The 19,468-nt window shown below is 38.6% G+C and overlaps 1 protein-coding gene and 1 pseudogene across 2 annotated transcripts in view; one reads left to right on the top strand and one right to left on the bottom strand.

Moving 5' to 3' along the window:
• The window catches only part of GPR158 (G protein-coupled receptor 158), a 427,229-nt gene that overhangs the window by 203,401 nt on the left and 204,360 nt on the right, over window positions 1-19,468 (top strand). For both annotated transcript variants that reach the window (XR_930512.4, NM_020752.3), the window contains exon 3: window positions 17,510-17,612. Coding sequence is in view for 1 of the 2 variants with exons in the window: in NM_020752.3 (NP_065803.2) it covers window positions 17,510-17,612 (103 nt within the window). In the remaining variant the exon portion in view is untranslated. The remainder of the gene's footprint in view (window positions 1-17,509; window positions 17,613-19,468) is intronic.
• On the bottom strand, window positions 15,156-15,443 carry RN7SKP220 (RN7SK pseudogene 220; annotated as a pseudogene).

The following is a 19,468-nucleotide window of genomic DNA, read 5'->3' on the forward strand; positions in this document are numbered from 1 at the left end:
CAAGTTTTTTTTTTTAAATCATTGTTAGAAACCTGACAGACTGCTTGCCTTCCTACTTTCCTTCTTTCTTATTTTATTCGTATATACCATCTTAGTTTATATTTTTCCATTTGTCCCACTATGCTCTTTTTTCCTCTTTTCTTATGTTATTTGGTTTTAATACAGTATTTCTTTTTTTATTATTTAACTTTTCCTTCTCTTTGCCAGTTAGGCATATATATATATTGCTTATATTAATATTTTTTAATACTTTTAGTAGTTATTCTATGGATTTCAGCATGCATCCTTAGCTCACTAAAGACTGATGTAAGTTATTCCTTTTACCTTTCTTATAAAAAGTAAGATATCAGCACCATTTAACTGGATTTACTTCCCACCTGCCTTTATTTTTATTTTTATTTTTGTTTTGAGACAGGGTTTTGCTTTGTCACCCAGGCTGGGGTGCAGTGGCACAATCATAGCTCACTGCAGCCTCAAACTTCCAGGTTCAAATGATCCTCCTACTTCAGCCCCGAGTAGCTGGAACGACAGACATGTACTACTACACCTTGCTGATTTAAAATAAATTTTTCTGAGATGGGGTCTCACCGTGTTGCCCAGGCTGGTCTCAAAGTCCAGAGCTCAAGTGATCCTCTAGCCTTGGACTATCAAAATGCTGGGATTACAGGCATGAGCCACTGTGCCCAACCCCACCTGCCTTTTATATTGCATTTAATTTCAATATACGTCTTAAATCCATGAGACATTATTATTACTATTACCATCTTCTATCATCAATATTAATTTAGATTTACTCGCATATTTACTTTCTATTGCTATTCATTCCCTCCTGTATCTTTGGGCTTCTGTGTGGTGTAATTTGAGATTGAATGTCAGGCATCGTGTTGTTACAGTGGTTCTGGATGCATTATCTTTTTCCAGAGAGGCTTTAACCTATCTCTGATAAGTAACTTGATATAGACATATCACCTTAACCCAACCAAAGCTTGAGCTGTCCCAGTGATGGATAGTAGTCCATGAAAGGCTCAAACTAGTTTTTATTCACTCTTAACTTACAGAGGCTGTCATTGAGAAAGCCAGGATTGTTTACTAGGACCTTTATCCATACAGGGTCCTAAATTCCGAAGTAGTCTCCTTAACATTGTGATACGGCAAAAGACTTCTTTTTCTCTTCAGCTTCTGCTTAGTTTCTTAGAGTTTCACTCTGGGCAGATTAAGAATTCAACAAATTTTTTTGAGGATTAGCTTTTTTTTTTTTTTTTTTCTGTACTTCCCTTCTCTCTGAGATTTTGTCTTCCTGATTATTTTTCTAGCCCCAAACTTGATTTTTTCTTTTCTTCTCATGCCTGTGAGAGTGCCAAAACTTAGGTGGCATCTCTTCTTCTTATCAGCTTACATCTGTCTGCATTCTCAGTCTTCCCCCAGTGCTTCATATCATGAAATACTCGGTTTAATACAGAAATGCAGAACACAGGACTTTTATTTACCTCCTTTTTTTTTTTACCTTGGATCTTGGTCCCTCCATTTTGGCTTCACATAAGCTTTCTTATGCCTCTCCATAGGGTTTTTTTTTTCTTTTTTCTTTTGTATTTTATCCAGATGTTCTAATTGTTTTGGTAGGTGCTACAGCTTGCTAACAAACTATTGTTTCATAGAAAAAAACTGAGTTCAGTTTTGTTCTTTTTTTCCCTCATTTCACTAATATTTATTGAGCACCTACTATGTGTCATGCTTGTGCTAGGATTTGGGAACATTGCAGTGAAGAAGACAACCCACTATCCAGCTTAAGAAATAGATTGTCACAAGTCTCTTAGAAATCCCAAGTGCTCCTCCCTCATCCTATACCTGTCTCCCTCACCAAACAGTAATCATTATCCTGAATTTTACGTTGATCACTGTTGTTCTTTGTAGTTTCAAATGTGTATATATCCTAAAGTGTACTTTATAAAGTTCTACATGTTTCTGCGTTTTATAAAACTGAAATCATATTATATGTACTCTCACACAATTTGCATTTGCTTCTTGATGTTTTAATTAGATCTATCTATATTTATGTATATAATGCAGTTCATTCATTTTTCTTTTTTTAGTATTACAATTAGTAATGTATTACATTTTATGTGTTTTTTCAATAAACACACATTTTGAATGTTTTGGAGTACAATTACTTAGTTGTAAGTTACATTCATCTTCAACTGTGTAAACAATGCCAAATCATTTTCCAATGTGTGTATATTAGATACTTTAATTTTTATTATTTTAACTTTTAAGAACTTATTCATGTAATCTGTATGGAATTAGGAGTAATAATTAAAAATAATGGTAAGATCACTCTGTGTAATATATAAGAAACGGATTCAAGGAATGCAAATTTGAGAAACCATATATGAAGCAGTTATACTAATTCTATTGAGTGATTATAGAGGCTTGGATTAGTATTATGACAATAGGGATGAGAAAGGCATTGATTTTACATATAGCTAAAAGGTAGAAGTGATGGAACTTGGAGAGTAAGGAAAAGTAAGTTTCTAATCTGGGCTTCTGCAGTTAGCAAGTATGCAGATAACCTTAACATTTGCACAAAAGTTATAAAATGACACAGAGATCAAATTTATAGTAAGAATAAGTATAGGACAGAGCCCTGGAAACCCCAGTTGGTAAGTCCAGGAAGAGGAAGAATGTCAGCTCGGGGCTGAAAGGGAGTGGCAAAAGAAGTAGGAGGAGAATTGAATATTTGAGAATGGGAAGTCAAGGAAAGAAGTGTTTCATGAAAGAGGGAATGGTCAGAAGTGTCTCATTCTGCAGAAAAGTTAAAAAATTATAACCTGAAAATAGCTAATAGATTCAATGATGTGAACATCACTTGTGTATTTGGCAACATCAGATCAATGGAGCAAGGGTGGTGAGAGCCAAATTGCTCTGGTTTGATGAGGGAGGTAAGTAAATGGAGATAATGAGCATAGATAAATCCTTCAAGATGTTTGGGTAGTAACTAGAAGTGAATTTAGGGTTGAGAGACAGTTTAATTTTATTATTATGGTTTTTAATATGGCTGAGATTTGTGCACAGTTAATAATGAGGAACGTTGCTAGTAAAGAGGAAAAGGTTGAACAAGAAAGGGAACATTCTTGCTAGAGGAAGTCACTGGGAACATGTATGGCGAGAGTGGACAAATATTGAAATTAATCAGCTTTAAATAGGAGGGACATGGTTTCCATTTTACTAGGAGCATATGGGTGTAGGTTTAGTAGACTTGTTGGTTTGCTCAAAGGCAGTTGAAGGAGTTTCTTCTCATGGCTTTTATTTACATTTAAAAGTATTTTTAATTCATCTTGAATTCAAAGATATTATTCATATTAACTTATTTTGTTTAGCATTTTTTATTTTAAACAACAATTTATTTTAGCAAAATATTTAAAGAAGGACTACTCAAAAACAAACAAATCAAGCACACATGAAGTTTTTTATTGTAAACAGGGTAAAGCACATTTATAACAGGTCCAATTTTTGTTTTTGCTTGCGGGTTTTAAGCTGCCTGAGAACCAGACCATGATTTTGTTCTTTGTTGCCTCAGCAAATAATGCACAACAGGGTTCGGTAAGCAAGAGTTAAATTCTGTCAAGAGTGAAAACAAAGTCCCCAGTGATGTGAACTGTGACTGCGGGGAGCATGGGGTGTCAAAGTTAGAGCATAGATGCATCATAGTGAGTTTGTGATTTAGTGGAGGGGAGTGTTTCATTATCTGAAAGTGTCGAACATACAAAGAATTTACGTTTGTCAAGCCTTTGGGCTATTTCTGTAGGAAGGCCTAGAAAATTGGGCTTGCTCACTCGGCGAGATGTAATTCTGACATTTTCCTGAGTCAGTCTCAGCCCCCACAAGGCATCTTGCTGTGTGTCAGTGTGAAGTCTGCAGACTTGTAATGTGTCTGAACCAGATGCTGTGTTGCTATCCCTTAGCCCTGTTTTGTGAGAGCTGGCTCCATCGAACATAAGAACATTTCAAAAATTAATAATAGAAAAGTTTCTTTTTTAATTTTAACGATGTCATAAAATAAAACATCCTCTCTTCTGCCCCCAACCCTACCCCAGTTTATCATACTTTTAAAACTGGGTTCTGACAGCTGCTGAATAATAGAGATAAGATGTTCTTTTTCTCCCTTGTGAAATACTGCATTATTTGTTATTCATGGGTTCTTGTTTTCCTGGAAGGTGGTTTGGTAAAATATGTGAGTGATGTGTACCCTATGATTACCAGGAGGCCTTTTAGATTTCCTGTTTGAGTGTTTTCCTTTGGCTTTAATAAACTTGCAAATAGTTGTGGGAAAGAGGCTACTGAATGTTAATATAATTGACCTGTTTTAGTACAAAGTCTCCCCAAACCCACTCCCAGATGAGCAGATTCATTCATTTATTTATTTTATTTTATTTTTATTTATTTATTTTTTTGAGATGGAGTCTCACACTGTCGCCCAGGCTGGAGTGTAGTGGCATGATCTCGGCTCATTGCAACCTCCTTCCTTCTCCCAGGTTCAAGCGATTCTCCTGCCTCAGCCCCCTGAGTAGCTGGGATTACAGGTGCCTGCCACCACACCCGGCTTATTTTTGGTATTTTTAGTAGAGATGGGCTTTCACTATGTTGGCCAGGCTGGTCTGGAACACCTGACCTGACGATCCACCTGCCTCCGTCTCCCAAAGTGCTGGGATTACAGGCATGAGCCGCCGCTCCCGGCCCAGATGAGAAGATTCAACGTTTTAAAGTATTTCTTCATAAGTTACAAAGAAGGAGTAAAAAAATATTAAAAGCTGCTGCCTTTTTAAAAATCTAGAAGCCTCCATTTCTACTTCATCTTGCTAGTGTCAAGCTTTTAATCTTTCTTTATGCCTCTGTGGTGTTGCCATCTGCTTTTTGAATAAGGCTCAGTAATCAATACAGCAGGAAACTTGCTGGAATTAGATAAGTCTCCGGTCAAAACAAAGGAGAGCTATGCATTTGCCACTAAAGCAAAAAAGAAGTGACAGACCAGACTGCCATAGAAACACCTTTGTTTCCACTGCAGAGACTTACCTGAGGCACAAGGGGGGTTTCGTTTTCAGGAAATTTAGGCGGAGAAAAGGCACTTTACCTGGATGCCCTGAAATGAAGGCTTGTTTCCTAAGATTTGAGTTGAGGAACTCTGCATCGGGAAGGGAGAGATTCATTTGTAAAAATTGTAACAGGTGTGGGACTTAATTGCATTTCTTAAAGTATATTTCATATGTACATTTTCAAATTAATAATCTTCCCTTATTTGAAGCTTAATGATCCAGCAAACTGGTCCATCTGGAATACTGCCTGAAACCAAGAAGAATAGAAAAAAAAAAGTTGAAACAATCAAAAGAGACTCTAAAGTGACCATGCACTAGCATCTGTTCCTCATTTATGGAATACTTCTGTGAGCCTATACTTCCTAGGCAGTGATTGATACTCTTTGGAGCCACACCCTTGGGGTTGAATCCTGGCTCAGCCAGTTGCTAGCTGTGTGGTTTTGGGCAAGTTACTTTAGCAGTTTGTTCCTCAAAGTTCTCATCTCTAAAATGGAAATAATAACAGAGTTGCTATAGAATTGAGTTAATACTTGTGCAGCAGTGCCTGGTATGTGGTAAACAGTAAATATTAACTATTTATTATCTTATTTACCCTTACTTTATTATTTATTATCTCATATACCCTGCATGCTTTGCGATCTAGTTTCCAGATATGCAGGCAGTTGTAACTATGATTTGAAAGGGAGAAAAGACATTTGTAGAGTTAAGTCTATATTTTAGGATTAAAATAGCCTATAGTTTAGGATAAAATTTTGAGCTGCCAGCTCAAAATAAAGAATAAAAAACCATGAAAACTAAGCATAAGAACTCAAAAAGTACAGCACTCTGGGCTATTTAATGTGTGAGAAAATAGCCATAAACTTTCAATGGCTCCAGAGGGCATTAGTGAATTTCAACACAATTCAGTACCTATTGTTCAGCGTAATGATTCTGACTCATGAAGAAGATGTTAAATTCTGTTCACAGTGTTCAGAAGAAGATGTTAAATTCTGTTCATGGTGTTCAGTTTAGAGAAATCAGAAAGAATTTTACATTTTAGGAAAATTCCAAAACAAAAATTTTAAAAAGGCATTTAAAGATCCATTTCTAGAAGATTTGGAATTACATAAACTTTATTTATTTGATTTTTTTTTCTGACACCTCTTTTCAGTCCAAGTTAGTTTTTTTCAGAATTATTTATAAATGTGGTTTTTCGGCACAAGTATTATTTCTGTTAAAACAAGTCTTCCCTGTATGCACCTCATCTTAGCTTTCATTTTAGCCATTCCATTTCTCAGTAATATCTCCATACAAATCTTCTTGACTGTCAGGCTGACCAGGTTTTGCTCTGCAATTATGTTTACCAGGAGTTGGCAGTCTGAGGTATGTGAGATGAGATATACATCATGCCGATTGCAATACGACCTTTAATGTTTACATACACATCTTTGAACTAGAAAGATCATTTTGCTCTAAAATATTTTTTTAAAAATTTAATTGTGGTAAAAATACATAATATAAAAATCTAACTATCTTAACCTATTTAACTGTACAATTTGGTAATGTTATTTATATTCATTGTTGTGTGACAGAGCTCTAAAAATTTTTCATGTTGCAAAATGGAAACTCTACACCCATTGAACAACTCCTCATATTCCCTTGCCCCTAACCCTTGGAAAACACCGTTCCACTTTCTATTTCTATGAGTTTATCTACTTCAGGTACCACATATAGGTGGTATCATAGAGTATTTGGCTTTTTGTGCTAGGTTTATTTCACCTAGCATAATGTCCTCTATGTTCAACCATGTTGAAGCAGATGATAGAGTTTCCTTCTCTTTTCAATTCTGGATAATATTCCATTATTTTTATATATCACAGTTTGTTTATCCATTTATTTGTTGATGGGTATTTGGGTTACTTACAACTCTTGGCTATTTTAAATAGTGCCACTATGAATATGGGTATGCAAATAGCTCTTCAAATTCCTGCTTTGAATTATTTTGGATACATACCAAAAAGGGATTGCAAGACCATATAGTAATTCTGTTTTTAATTTTTTTGAGAACCTTCATACTGTTTTCCATAGTGGCTACACCATTTCATGTTTTCACCAACAGTGCACAAGGGTTCCAATTTTTTCCACATCCTCAGAAACATTTATTATTATTATAATTTTTTGATAGTGGCCATACTAATGGAGGTGGGATAATATCTCGTTGTGGTTTTGATTTGCATTTCTCTAAGTATTTAGTGATGTTTAACATCTTTTCATTGGCTTATTGGCCATTGGTATATTTTCCTTGCAGAAATTTGCCCACTTAAAATCAGGTTATTTGTTTTTCTGTGTCATTGTGTTGCAGGAGTTCTTTATGTGCTCTGGATATTAGCCCTTTATCAGATACATGGTTTGCAAATGTTTTCTCCCATTCTGTAGGCTGACTTTTCATTCTGTTGATTGTATTGCATTCTTTGATGCAAATAAGTTTTTAAATTTGATGTAGTCCCATTTGTCTATTTTTGGTTTTGTTGGTTGTGGATTTGATGTCATATCCAAGAAACCATTCCCAAATCTAATGTCATAAGGCTTTTCCCATTTTTCTTCCAGAGTTTTATAGTTTTAGGTGTTATGTTTAAGTCTTAAATCATATTGATTAAGTTTTGTATTTGGTGTTAGGTAAAGGTCTGACTTTATTCTTTTGCATGTGCATATTCCATTTTCCAAATACCACCTGTTGAAGAGAATGTCCTGTCCTCACTGAATTGTTGAAGACAATTTGAACATTATATGTAAGGGTTTATTTCTGGGCTGTCTATTCCATTTGTCTATATGTCTGTCTTTATGCCAGTACCACACTGTTTTGATTACTATAGCTTTGTAGTGTGTTTTGAAATCAGAAAGTGTGATGCCTCCAACTTAGTTCTTTTTCAAGATTGTTTTGATGATTTCGGGTGCTTGGGATTCCATATAAGTTTAGGACATTTTTTCGATTTCTGCAAAAAATGTCATTAGGATTTTGATATGGATTACATTCAATCTGTAGTTTTGCTTTGCTTTGAATAGTATGGATATTTTAACAATATTAAGTCTTTCAATTCAGTGTTGCAATGAACACTGGATGTCACTGTCACTTATTTATGTCTTTTAACATTTCTTTCAGCAATATTTTACAGTTTTCAGAGTATACTTCTTTCACCTTCTTGGTTACTCCTAATCATTTTATTCTTTTTGATATTTTCATTTTATTCTTTTTGATATTATTGTAAATGAGACTGTTTCTAAACTTACTTTTGGATTATTCATTGTTTTTATATAGAAACAACCAATTTTGGCATGTTGATTTTTGTATCCTACATGTTTGCTGGATACATTTATTAGTTCTAGTAGTTTTTGTGTGTGTGGAATTTCAGGGTTTTCTACCCTCAAATTATATAAGATCTTGTCATCTGTGAACAAAGATAATTTTACTTTTTAATTTCCTTTTTGGATGCCCTTTAGTTTTTTTTCTTGACTAATTGTTCTGGCAAGGACTTACAGTACTATGTTTCGTGAAAGTGGAGAGAGAAGGCTTTCACACCTTGTACTTGAGCTTAGAGGAAAAGTTTTCAGTTTTTTACCATTGAGTATGATGTTATCTGTGGTTTTTCATGTATGATCTTTAATATGTTGAGGTAATTTCCTCCTATTTTTAGTATGTTGGGTGTTTTTATCATAAAAGGGTGTTGCATTGTGTCAGATGCTTTCTCTGCATCACTTGAGATGATCGTTTGGTTTTGTCCTTCATTCTGTTGATGTGTGTAACTACACTGATTGCTTTTTGTGTGTTTAACTATCCTTGAATTCTAGAAATGAATCCCACTTGTTTGTGGTGTATAATCCTTTTTAATGTCTGTTGAATTTCTGGTGAATTTGGTTTGAGATTTTTGCATCAATATTCATCAGGAATACTTGTCTATTGTTTTCTTTTCCAAGAGTATACTTATCTGGCTTTGGTATAGTGTAGTGCTGACATCATAAAATGAGTTTGGGAATGTTCCTTTCTCTTCAAATTTTTTTTTTTTTTTTTGAGACAGGGTGTTGCTCTGTCACCCAGGCTGGAGTGCAGTGGCATGATCTTGGCTCACTGCAACCTCCGCCTCCTGGGTTCAAGTGATTCTTGTGCCTCAGCCTCCTGAGTAGCTGGGACTACAGGCACACGCCACCATGCCTGGCTAATTTTTGTATTTTTAGCAGAGACAGGGTTTCACCATGTTGGCTAGGATGGTCTCGATCTCCTGACCTCATGATCCACCTGCCTCAGCCTCCCAAAGTGCTGTGATTACAGGTGTGAGCCACCGTGCCTGGGCTTCTCCTCAATTTTTTGCAAGAGTTTAAGGAAGATTGTTGTTTATTCTTTTATACATGTTTAGTAGAATTCTCCATTGAAGACATCTGGTTATGGGCACTTTTTTATTGGGAAGTTTTTTGATTACTGAATTTAATCTCCTTACTAGTTATATATCTGTTCTTTTTTATTATGATTCAATCTTGATAGCGTGTATGTTTCTAGAAATTTATCCACTTCACTCTAAACTCTTGACCACCATATCTTATGCAATTGGATCTGGTCTGCTCCTAGGAACCTGGATTTGATTGTGAGTTCTTAAGAGCTGTCTTTTGTAAATCTCTGCTGGTGGCTTGTTAAGGTTCATCAAAGTAGGCTTCCAATATTGTAAGCAGCTTCCTTATTCAGGGGTACAATAATGACGGCAATCGTGGGCCATCCAGAGCAGCTGCTGTCATTATGCCAGCTGCATTGGTGAGGTGAGAGCGGTGGCAGCAGGAGTGGTTGTGGGAGCAGCAGTGGCGGCAGTGGGTCCTCTGTGGCCTGAGTCCCTGAGGCAGTCAACCACACCACCCCCACCCTTGCATGGCCAGGCAGAACCTGTTCCCAGGCCCAGAGCCTCTGCTGTGGCCTTAACCTTGCTCCCTGCCATGTCCCACGGGCCCATAAGCACCAGGCCAAATGTGCAGCCAGGACTCATGGGGCTGGCCCCAGGAACATTGGAGTCATTTTTGTGGGGTTGGCCAGGTCCACTGTACCACCTTCATCTCACCCATTGCCCTGGGAGCTATCGCAATGAGGCCAGGCCAGGTCACCTGCTGGTGGAGGAGCAGCATGGTCAGGCATGAAGGGCGGGCAGAAGTGGAGCTGGGTCTGGGGCAGTGCTGTGCTCCATGGAGCCAGTGGGAGCTGGGAGCAGGCAAGATTCCTGCACTCCCATGTGTGGCTGCAGCTGCCCAAGTTGTGGCTGCAGACCCAGGCATTTTGCACTCTTGGGGGGCCTGGGAAGGCCCCCTCCCTTGCCCACACAGGCTTGGAGGTGTCTGCTCCCATTGCCTGGCCTCTCCTTGCTTTCAGTGCCCACTCCAATCATGGAGCAAAGTTGAGGCTGAGCCCAGGTGCTGTTGCAACCTGACAGGGTGTGTGCTTGCTTGGGACAGTGCTGACAGGCCAGCCCCTGCCACCTTGGCCCCCTCTAGACTTTGGGCACCAATGAGCATGGGAGGGAGGCCCAGTGGGTGCTGAGGGAAGCTTGGCAGTGGCCTGCAGGCATCCCTTGGCACAAACAGCCTGGGTGCCATGAATGGTGGCAGGCATCAGACAAGATCCTGGGAAGAAGAGGGGAGGGTCCCCAGTGAAGCCCCACCTTCAGACAGGGGAGGTGGTGCCTTTTCCAGACCTGTCCATGGCCACCCATGGACCAATGGACATGTACTTCCTCCCTGCTGAGGCCCATAAAAGCCCTGCACTCAGCCAGACTCAAGGAGATGATGGGACAACCAACTGCAGAGAGGAGCTGCCCACCCCAGGGTCTCCTCTTTGCTGAGGGCTGAGGAGATGATGGGACATCCATTTGCAGAAAGAAATTAACCTCTCTGCTGAGAGCTCGACAGTCATCAGGATGACCTGCCTCACAGAGAGGAGACTCTCTGCTGAGAGCTGAACACTCGTTGGAACACTCTGGCTACAGAGAGGAGTTCCCCACTGCAGATCTCCTCTGAGCTGTTCTATTGCTCAATAAAACTCCTCTTTATCTTGTTGACCCTCCAGTTGTCTGTGTACATTCTTCCTGGATGGAGTACAAGAACTTGGGACCCGCTGAATGGTGGGGCTAAAAAAGCTGTAACACAAACAGGGCTGAAACACGCCCCTTGCATGCCATATTGTGGGTGACAAGAAGGAAAGAATAGAGAAGGAAAGAAGGGCTGTGGCCCTTTGGGGATCCCAGACCTGGAAGCTCCCTGAGCCAAGGCTGTGACATCCTTTTTAGGTCTCTGTGGTTCCTGGCATCCCCAAGCTTCTGGGCACCACACCACGTTTCTTGGTGTTAGCTGTTGATATGGTTTGGCTTTATTCCCACCCAAGTCTCATCTTGAGCTTTAGCTCCCATAATCCCCATGTGTTGTTGGAGGGACCTGGTGGGAGGTAATTGAATCATGGGAGCAGGTTTTTTCCATGCTGTTCTCATGATAGTGAATAAGTGTCATGAGATTTGATGGTTTTATAAAGGGCAGTTCCTCTTCGCATGCTCTCTTGTCTGCCACCATGTAAGACATGCTTTGGCTCCTCTTTTGCCCTCCATCATATTTATGAGGCTTCCCCATCCATGTGGAACTGTGAGTCTTTTAAATCTCTTTCCTCTATAAGTCTTGGGTATATCCTTATAGCAGCTTGAGAACAGACTAATACAGTAAATTGGTACCGGTAGAGGGGGGTACTGCTATTAAGATACCCTAAAATGTGTAATTTACTTTAGAACTGGGTAACAGATAGAGGTTGGAACAGTTTGGAGGGCTTAGAAGAAGACAGAAGGCTGTGGGAAAGTGTGGAGCTTCCTAGAGACTTGTTGAATGGTTTTGACCAAAATGCTGATAGTGATATAGATGATGAAGTCCAGGCTGAGCTGTTCCAGATAGAGATAAGGAACTTTTTGGGAACTGGAGCAAAGGTGATTCTTACTATGTTTTAGCAAAGAGACTGGTGGCATTCTGCCCCTGCCCTAGAGATCTGTGGAACGTTTTACTTGAAAGAGAGGATTTAGGGTATCTAGCCAAAGAAATTTCTAAGCAGCAAGGTGATCAAGAGATGACTTGGGTGCTTTTAAAAGCATTTAGTTTTATTCATTCACAAAGATATGATTTATAATTGGAACTTATGTTTAAAAGAGAAGCAGAGCATACAATTTTGGAAAATTTGCAGCCTGGCAATGCAGTAAAAAAGAAAAACCCATTTTCTGAGAAGAAATTCTAGCTGGCTGCAGAAATTTACATAAGTAACAAGGAAATGCAGAAATTTGCTTAATCACCAAGACAATGGTGAAAAATGTCTGTAGGGCATGTCAGAGGTCTTCATGGCAGTCCCTCCCATCACAGGCCTGGAGGCCCAGGGGGAGAAAATGGTTTCGTGGGCTGGCTCCAGGGCTCCCCTGCTTTGTGCAGTCTTAGGACTTGGTGCCCCGTGTGTCAGCTGTGGCTAAAAGGGGCCAAGGTACAGCTCAGACCATTGCTTCAGAGGGTCAAGCCCCAAACCTTGGTGGCTTCCACGTGTTGTTGGGCCTGTGGGTGCACAGAAGTCAAGAATTGAGGTTTGGGAACCTCTGCCTAGATTTCAGAGGATGCATAGAAACACCTGGATGTCCAGTCAGAGGTGTGCTGCAGGGGTGGGTCCCTCATGAAGAACCTCTTCTAGGGCAGTGCAGAAGGAAAATGTGGGTGGGAACCCCAACACAGCGTCCCCACTGGGGCACTGCCTAGTGGAGCTGTGAGAAGAGGACCACCATCCTCCAGATCTCAGAATGGTAGATCCACCAACAGCTAGCACTGTGTGCCTGGAAAAGCCACAGACACTCAACACTAGCCCATGAAAGCAGCCAGGAGGTGGACTTTACCCTGCAAAGCCATAGAGGCAGAGCTGCCCAAGACCATGGGAACCCCTTCTTGCATCAGCATGACCTGGTTGTGAGACATGCAGTTAAAGGAGATCATTTTGAGCTTTAAGATTTGACTGTCCTGCTGGATTTTAGACTTTCATGAGGCCTGTAGCCCCTTTATGTTGGCCAATTTATCCCATTTGGAATGGGTGTATTTACCCAATGCCTGTAACCCCATTGTATCCAGGAAGTAACTGACTTGTTTTTGATCTTATAGGTTCATAGGTGGAGGGGGCTTACCTTGTCCCAGATTAGACATTGGACTGTGGACTTTTGAGTTAATGCTGAAATGAATTGAGACTTTGGGGAACAGTTGGGAAGGCATGATTTGTTTTGAAATGTGAGGACATGAGATTTGGGAGGGGCTGGGGTGGAATGATATGGTTTGGCTATGTCCCCACCCAAATCTCATCTTGAATTGTTCCTATCCTAATCCCCATATATCATGGGAGGGAACTGGTAGGAAGTAATTGAATCATGGGGGTGAGTTTTTCCCATGCTGTTATCTTGAAAGTGAATAAGTCTCACGAGATCTGATGGTTTTATAAAGGGCAGTTCTCCTGCACACGTTCTCCTGCTTGCTGCTATGTGAGATGTGCCTTTGCTTCTCTTTTGCCTTCCGCCATGATTGTGAGGCCTCCCCAGCCATGTGGAACTGTGAGTCAATTAAGACTCTTTCCTTTGTAAATTACCCAGTCTTGGGTATGTTCTTATAACAGCATGAGAGTGGACTAATACAGCCATCGAAGCTGCTTATGGTACACCTGGTTCAGCTGCAGTCTCACAGGGAGCCAGTGCCCTTGCCAGTGCCTAGAGCTGTCCTCCCTTCTGCAGCTGGTGTGCCTTGCTGCACACAGTGTGTGGACCCCACACTCACTCACACACCCCCACTGCTCCACACTTGGCTTGCCCTTGGCAGGTGTGGGATCCAGGCTGGTAGCAGGAGCCAAGGGCAGCCTTCCAGGCTGAGTGGGCATAATGTGCCTAGCAGGCCAGAGCAAAAGTCAGGCCGAGGAGCCACTGGCCACAGAGGTTTCTGGCTGGCAAAATGACACTCCAAGGATCCCGTAGCAATAACTCTTAATTTTTATATTTTTATCAATTTTTATCAAAGGCTACTCATGGAGCAGCTACCCTCATGGAGGAGAAACAAGTGCTACTTAACAAGCAGCCCCTCAGCCTAAACCCAAACTAAACATTAGTTGAGCATCACTATATTTACAGTTTTTTTTTTAAACTAGGTTAACTGAACTAATTTCCTAATCTTAAAAATGTATAATTTTGTTTAGGAGGTAACAGAGATGAAGTAGCGAGGGAATCATGGTGGTGGGTACAGCAAGAAAATATGCCTTGCAAGTTTATTGAAAATTTACAATTCTTCATAAAAAAAAATAAGCCAAGACCACTTGTATACTTCAAGGCAAAAGCATGAAAACAGTAGCACATTTGGTTCCGTACAGGCCCTGCTGTCTTGGAGGTGGAGTCAGTACAGCAGGATGATCTGCTTTTATTGATTTTAATTGACAAAGTTTTTTTTCTTTCCTTTGAGATCATAAAATTATTTATTAATAGAATAACAAGTTTGAGGTAGCTAATAATTCATGTTTCTGTGTTTTATGTAATAAAATCAGGAGGCATTTCTTTCAAGTTTAAGGAATATTTTATTTGGCAATATGTACCAGATCTAATCAATTCAATTTTTTAAACATTCATTTTTTTATGTTGGCTGTAGAGTTAGTTTATAGCAGAGAGATACTTTAATTACAATAAACTTTCAGATCTTCCATAAGAATTTAAAATTCTCAACTGAGTCACTGTTGCAGTGCTGAGTCATATCATCATGAAATCAGTGATGTTCTATGTTCTAATGAATAGCATTAACCTCTGAATTTCAGCAAGGTAAAATATTTCAAGAATTCTAATGTAGTCTTAGTATCTAAGACTTAGTTTACCTGGTTTACCTTAGTTTACAAATCCTTGCTGGATGAATATTTAGTAAATCTAACTTACAACAAACTCCACATGCTATATTCGTAGTGTCGCGACGTCGTAACGGAAGTAATGATACCCCATTGAATTGCTCCTCTCAGGATCCTTTGATTCTTTCTTTCTGCCTAACATTTTAGCTCTGAAGTGTCCCGAGTCTCACCACTTGGATCTATTTCCTGATAGTATGTTTAGAGGTTCTAGCAGGGGAACACAGCAGCTTGTGTACCCTTGAGTGAAGAATGGTTCTCCTCTATTTGGGAAGGTCATCCTCTTTGACCTAGCAAGTAGCTTCAGGAAGGACACACATGGAGTAGTGAGGAAGGAAAAAGACACTTGCCAAGTCAGCCAGATTAGCTGAATCAATCCTGGCAATCAATGAGGTGGCAGATGTTGCAGCCGGATTACTCTCATATTTTTGGATCTGTTTCCTTCACTGACTGAAGGCACTGCTTAGTGATTTAGTCTTATCTAATCTCACGGATTTATCTATGATCTTTATGCAAATGATTCACAAATTATACAGCCCAGACATCTCTTCTAAACTTCATACTAGTTTATCAAACTACCTATTTGAGATGTAGATCTAAATTTTTGAATAATCACTTCACCGTGAGCATTTCCAAAACTGAACTTCTGATCTTTTCCCTAAATCTAAAGACTTTCTCAGATCAGTTAAATGACAACTCCATACTTAAGTTTGCTCAGGCCAAAAACGCTGGAGTCATCCTTTATTTTTCTTTTCCTCTTATACCCTGTATTTAACCCATTAGGCCATCATGGTGGCACTACCTTTTTCAGACTATGTCTGTGTCTGGTGGAATAGTTATTCTCATTAATTAAAGACAGTAAGGCTCAGAGATGTTAAGAGAACAGCCCAAATCCACACGGTTGGGAAGTGATGAAGTCAGATTTCAAATTTGTCTTTTCTGACTGACCACAACTAATATGCTCTTTCCATAATACTAGTGCTTCTCCTAAATACATGTTATAGTTACTTCTTTTATTTACATAGTTTAGAAATATGATTTGACCTATTGTATAACTGGAGCTTTATAAACAGTACATGTTATTTTTATTAGGTTCTGTACGCATTCTTTATGCATGCTGCGGTTATTTCCTAAATACTTGCTAACTCAGTTGAATTGACTGGTACTCTTGCTATTTTATTTTGCTCTGGGTTAGGAAATGTGTTTTCAATTGCAGCATATAAATTGGATATGTGTGTGTTAGATGGAAAAGAAGAGGGTATTAATGAAATTAAAATATTCAAGAAGGTCCTTTAGAGAGCTCTTTTTCAGAGATTTCTTGCTGCATCTCTGACTTTAGAATAAGTATTAGCTTTTTTATCTTACATACAAATACTTATCTAATTGCTGGAGTTTTTGTGATATGTAATATTGATCCTAATGCTAATCATTTAAGCTTAGATTATGGAATTATTTAAATTATTTAAAATTTTATCTCAAGGGCTTCTGAAAAGAGGGACATCTTATAATTCTTAAATTCACTAGATTCTAAGTTCCTTTAATAGATTATAGTGGTAAAAAGGCAATGTGTTGGAATCATGGTAGAACAATATCATGAAAGAAATTTCAGTGTTGGTTAGATTATTTAAATGCTCCAGTTTTACTGATGTAGTTTTTGTAGTTTAGTAGAAGTTATTCCTTGCTATGTAATTAAATGTAGCAAAAATGAAGTAGGTTAAGCTAAATTTTACTTGGTTAAAATTATATCTTTTGCTTGCTAGGTTATATCCTTGACCCTTGAAAGAAGTCAAGATTAAATTTTGGGGAGATGTCTATTGTTTATGATAGTGAAATATTTTGAAAGCTGTTTTTCTTCCTTATATGTATATGTAAAACATTTATCTATTAAACAGATTTTAGGTAAACAGCCCTGGAATAATTAATTCATCTTTATTTTTATCTTCTAAATTTGCATTTTTAAATTTACTTGTTTTATTATTTTATCAATTTGTGTTATTTTGATTGATTCCAGGATAAAATTTGATGACTATTTAATTCATAAAAGCAATTTTCACATCTTAAATTTTACTATCTGTTTACCTACCTACCTGCCTATCTACCCACCTACCTACCTTTGCTTTGATAGAAACATTCAGTATGGAATCACTTTTGAAATACTCTTATAGGCTTTGGAACAATTTCTTAAAGCAATAAGATGATATGTGAGGCATTAAAAAGAAAAACTATGTCTAGTAATTAACTCATTCCATTGCCACAGGAAGTAAAGATGTGTGCAACTGCAGCTGTAATGGCATAAATTTAGAAAGGAAACTTAATTTACTGCTTCTAAAAAAAATTGTTGGCACAACAAAACTGAAAAGTTCAAAAAAGAGCTATTTTATTTCTGGAAAATGTGTTAGTTTTCTGTTACCATTTGCAATGATGGATATCTGCGAGCCTTTATACCATGAGATAAGCCATGATCAACTATGTTGCTGTCTTTTCTTCTTCATAGTGTATGCCAATTAAAGGCCTAGGATTCGTTCTTGGAGCCTATGAGTGCATTTGCAAAGCAGGATTCTATCATCCTGGAGTCTTACCAGTGAACAACTTTCGGAGTAAGTGCCCTTTGTTTCTATGTATATATATGTATATACATCATATATACTATTATTACGAAGATTTTCTTTTATCCTTGTTGGAGTTATATGGTTGAATAATCATTGGTTTGGCATTCTTTCATCACTTAAGGAGTTTTAGTTTTAGTTTGTCATCTACAATGCTCTGGAGAACCACTAAAATATACCTAAAATATTCTTAGGTATATATTAGTTTTTAATACATTTTAAAAGTCTGAAAATATTGTAGCTATCTGGTAAGACCAATGGGGATTTAGTTATTGAAAGATGCTGCTACAGAAAGTTCCTAAAACTAATTTTGTCAGTTTATTTTATTTATCAAGGTGTTTATATGTTTTTAATGCTGCATAAAAAGTTACCATAAAGTGAGCAGCTTAAAGCAGCACAGATTCGTTATCATACGGTTCCCATTGGTTAGGTTCCTAGGTCTGGGTTAGCTGGGTCCTAAACTCAAGGTTTCACCACTCTAAAATCAAGATGTTGGCTGGGTATAGTGGCTCACGCTTGTAATCCTAGCAATTTGGGTGGCTGAGGTGGGAGGATCGCTTGAGCTCAGGAGTTCAAAACCAGCCTGGACAACATAGTGAGACCTTGTCTCAATAATAATAATAATACAATGCAGAGATCATCTTCAAAAAAATACAAGTCTACTTGCTGTTATTTGCATTATCTGACCTCTATAAACAATCATGACCAGAGCCATGTCTTCATAAAGTTAATAATAAAATATTACATGTAGAAATTTATAGTTTCAAAAAATAAAAATAAAAGCAAATAAAGGTCTCACTTGGGTGTGATCTTCTCAGAGGCTCAGGGTCCTCTTCAAAGCTCCTTAGGATTGTTGGAAGAATTCAGTTCCTTGCATTTGTAGGCCTGAGGCCCTTATTTTCTGGCTGGATGTCAGCCTGGGGTCACTCTTAGTTCCTAAAAGTTCCCTCAAGACCTAGCTACGTTACCCTTTCACAACATGGCTGATTCCTTTTTCAAGGCTACCAGGAGAATCTCCCTCACCTGCTAAGACAGAGTCTTAAATGACAGAGTATAATCATGGGAGTGCCTCTCCTATCACTTCAGCATATAACATAGCCCAACCAAAAGAGAGAATGTCCCATCATATTTACGGATCCACCCACATTCAAACAGAAGTGATTATACAGGGCTTCTATTCCAGAATTGAAACTTGGTCATCTGGTTATTTTATTCCTACTCCAGAAAATGTCAGTGTTACAATTCAAGTATTGAGTATTATTCTCTCTCCGGAGAATAAACTCTTGCCACATCACCTTATAGCTATTGGATATAATACCCAAGAAGAAAGACTGTAGTGGTAACAGGGGTGGTTTCATGGAAAGTTAGGGTTTGGGAGTTGCTAAAACTAGAGTACAGGTCTCTTTTAAATAGTTACCCATAAATCTTTGCCAGCCCTATTATCTGTGTAGGAATTTGGATTTCACTGAGGCATAGTTCAAAGGGTTCATTGAGATTGAGACCTGAATGTCTTCCTCTGGGAATTTTGGTAGACATTTATAGATTTTTATACAGTTCTTTTTCTCTCTCTTAGAAGGCACTATTCTTGGTCTTGAGACTGTTTACATTTAACTTGTAGGTTCTGGAGGTGAGAAACATTTTGCCGTCTCCTCCGCCGCATATTTCAGAGTTTAGTCCTTGTTCTGAGTGAGTTGTTGTAGGCAGAATTCTAAGGTGGCCTCCCAGGTTCTGCTTCCACATCCTCTTAAGTGTGGGTGTCATCTATGAATTTGCTGGGATAGTCACTCCCTTGCTTAGGTTCTGTTATTTAGCAACATAAGAGAGTGAGGATATAGTCACTTTTGTGA

This window comes from Homo sapiens, chromosome 10 (genome assembly GCF_000001405.40).
Source record: "Homo sapiens chromosome 10, GRCh38.p14 Primary Assembly".
In the NCBI taxonomy this organism is placed as follows: domain Eukaryota; kingdom Metazoa; phylum Chordata; class Mammalia; order Primates; family Hominidae; genus Homo; species Homo sapiens.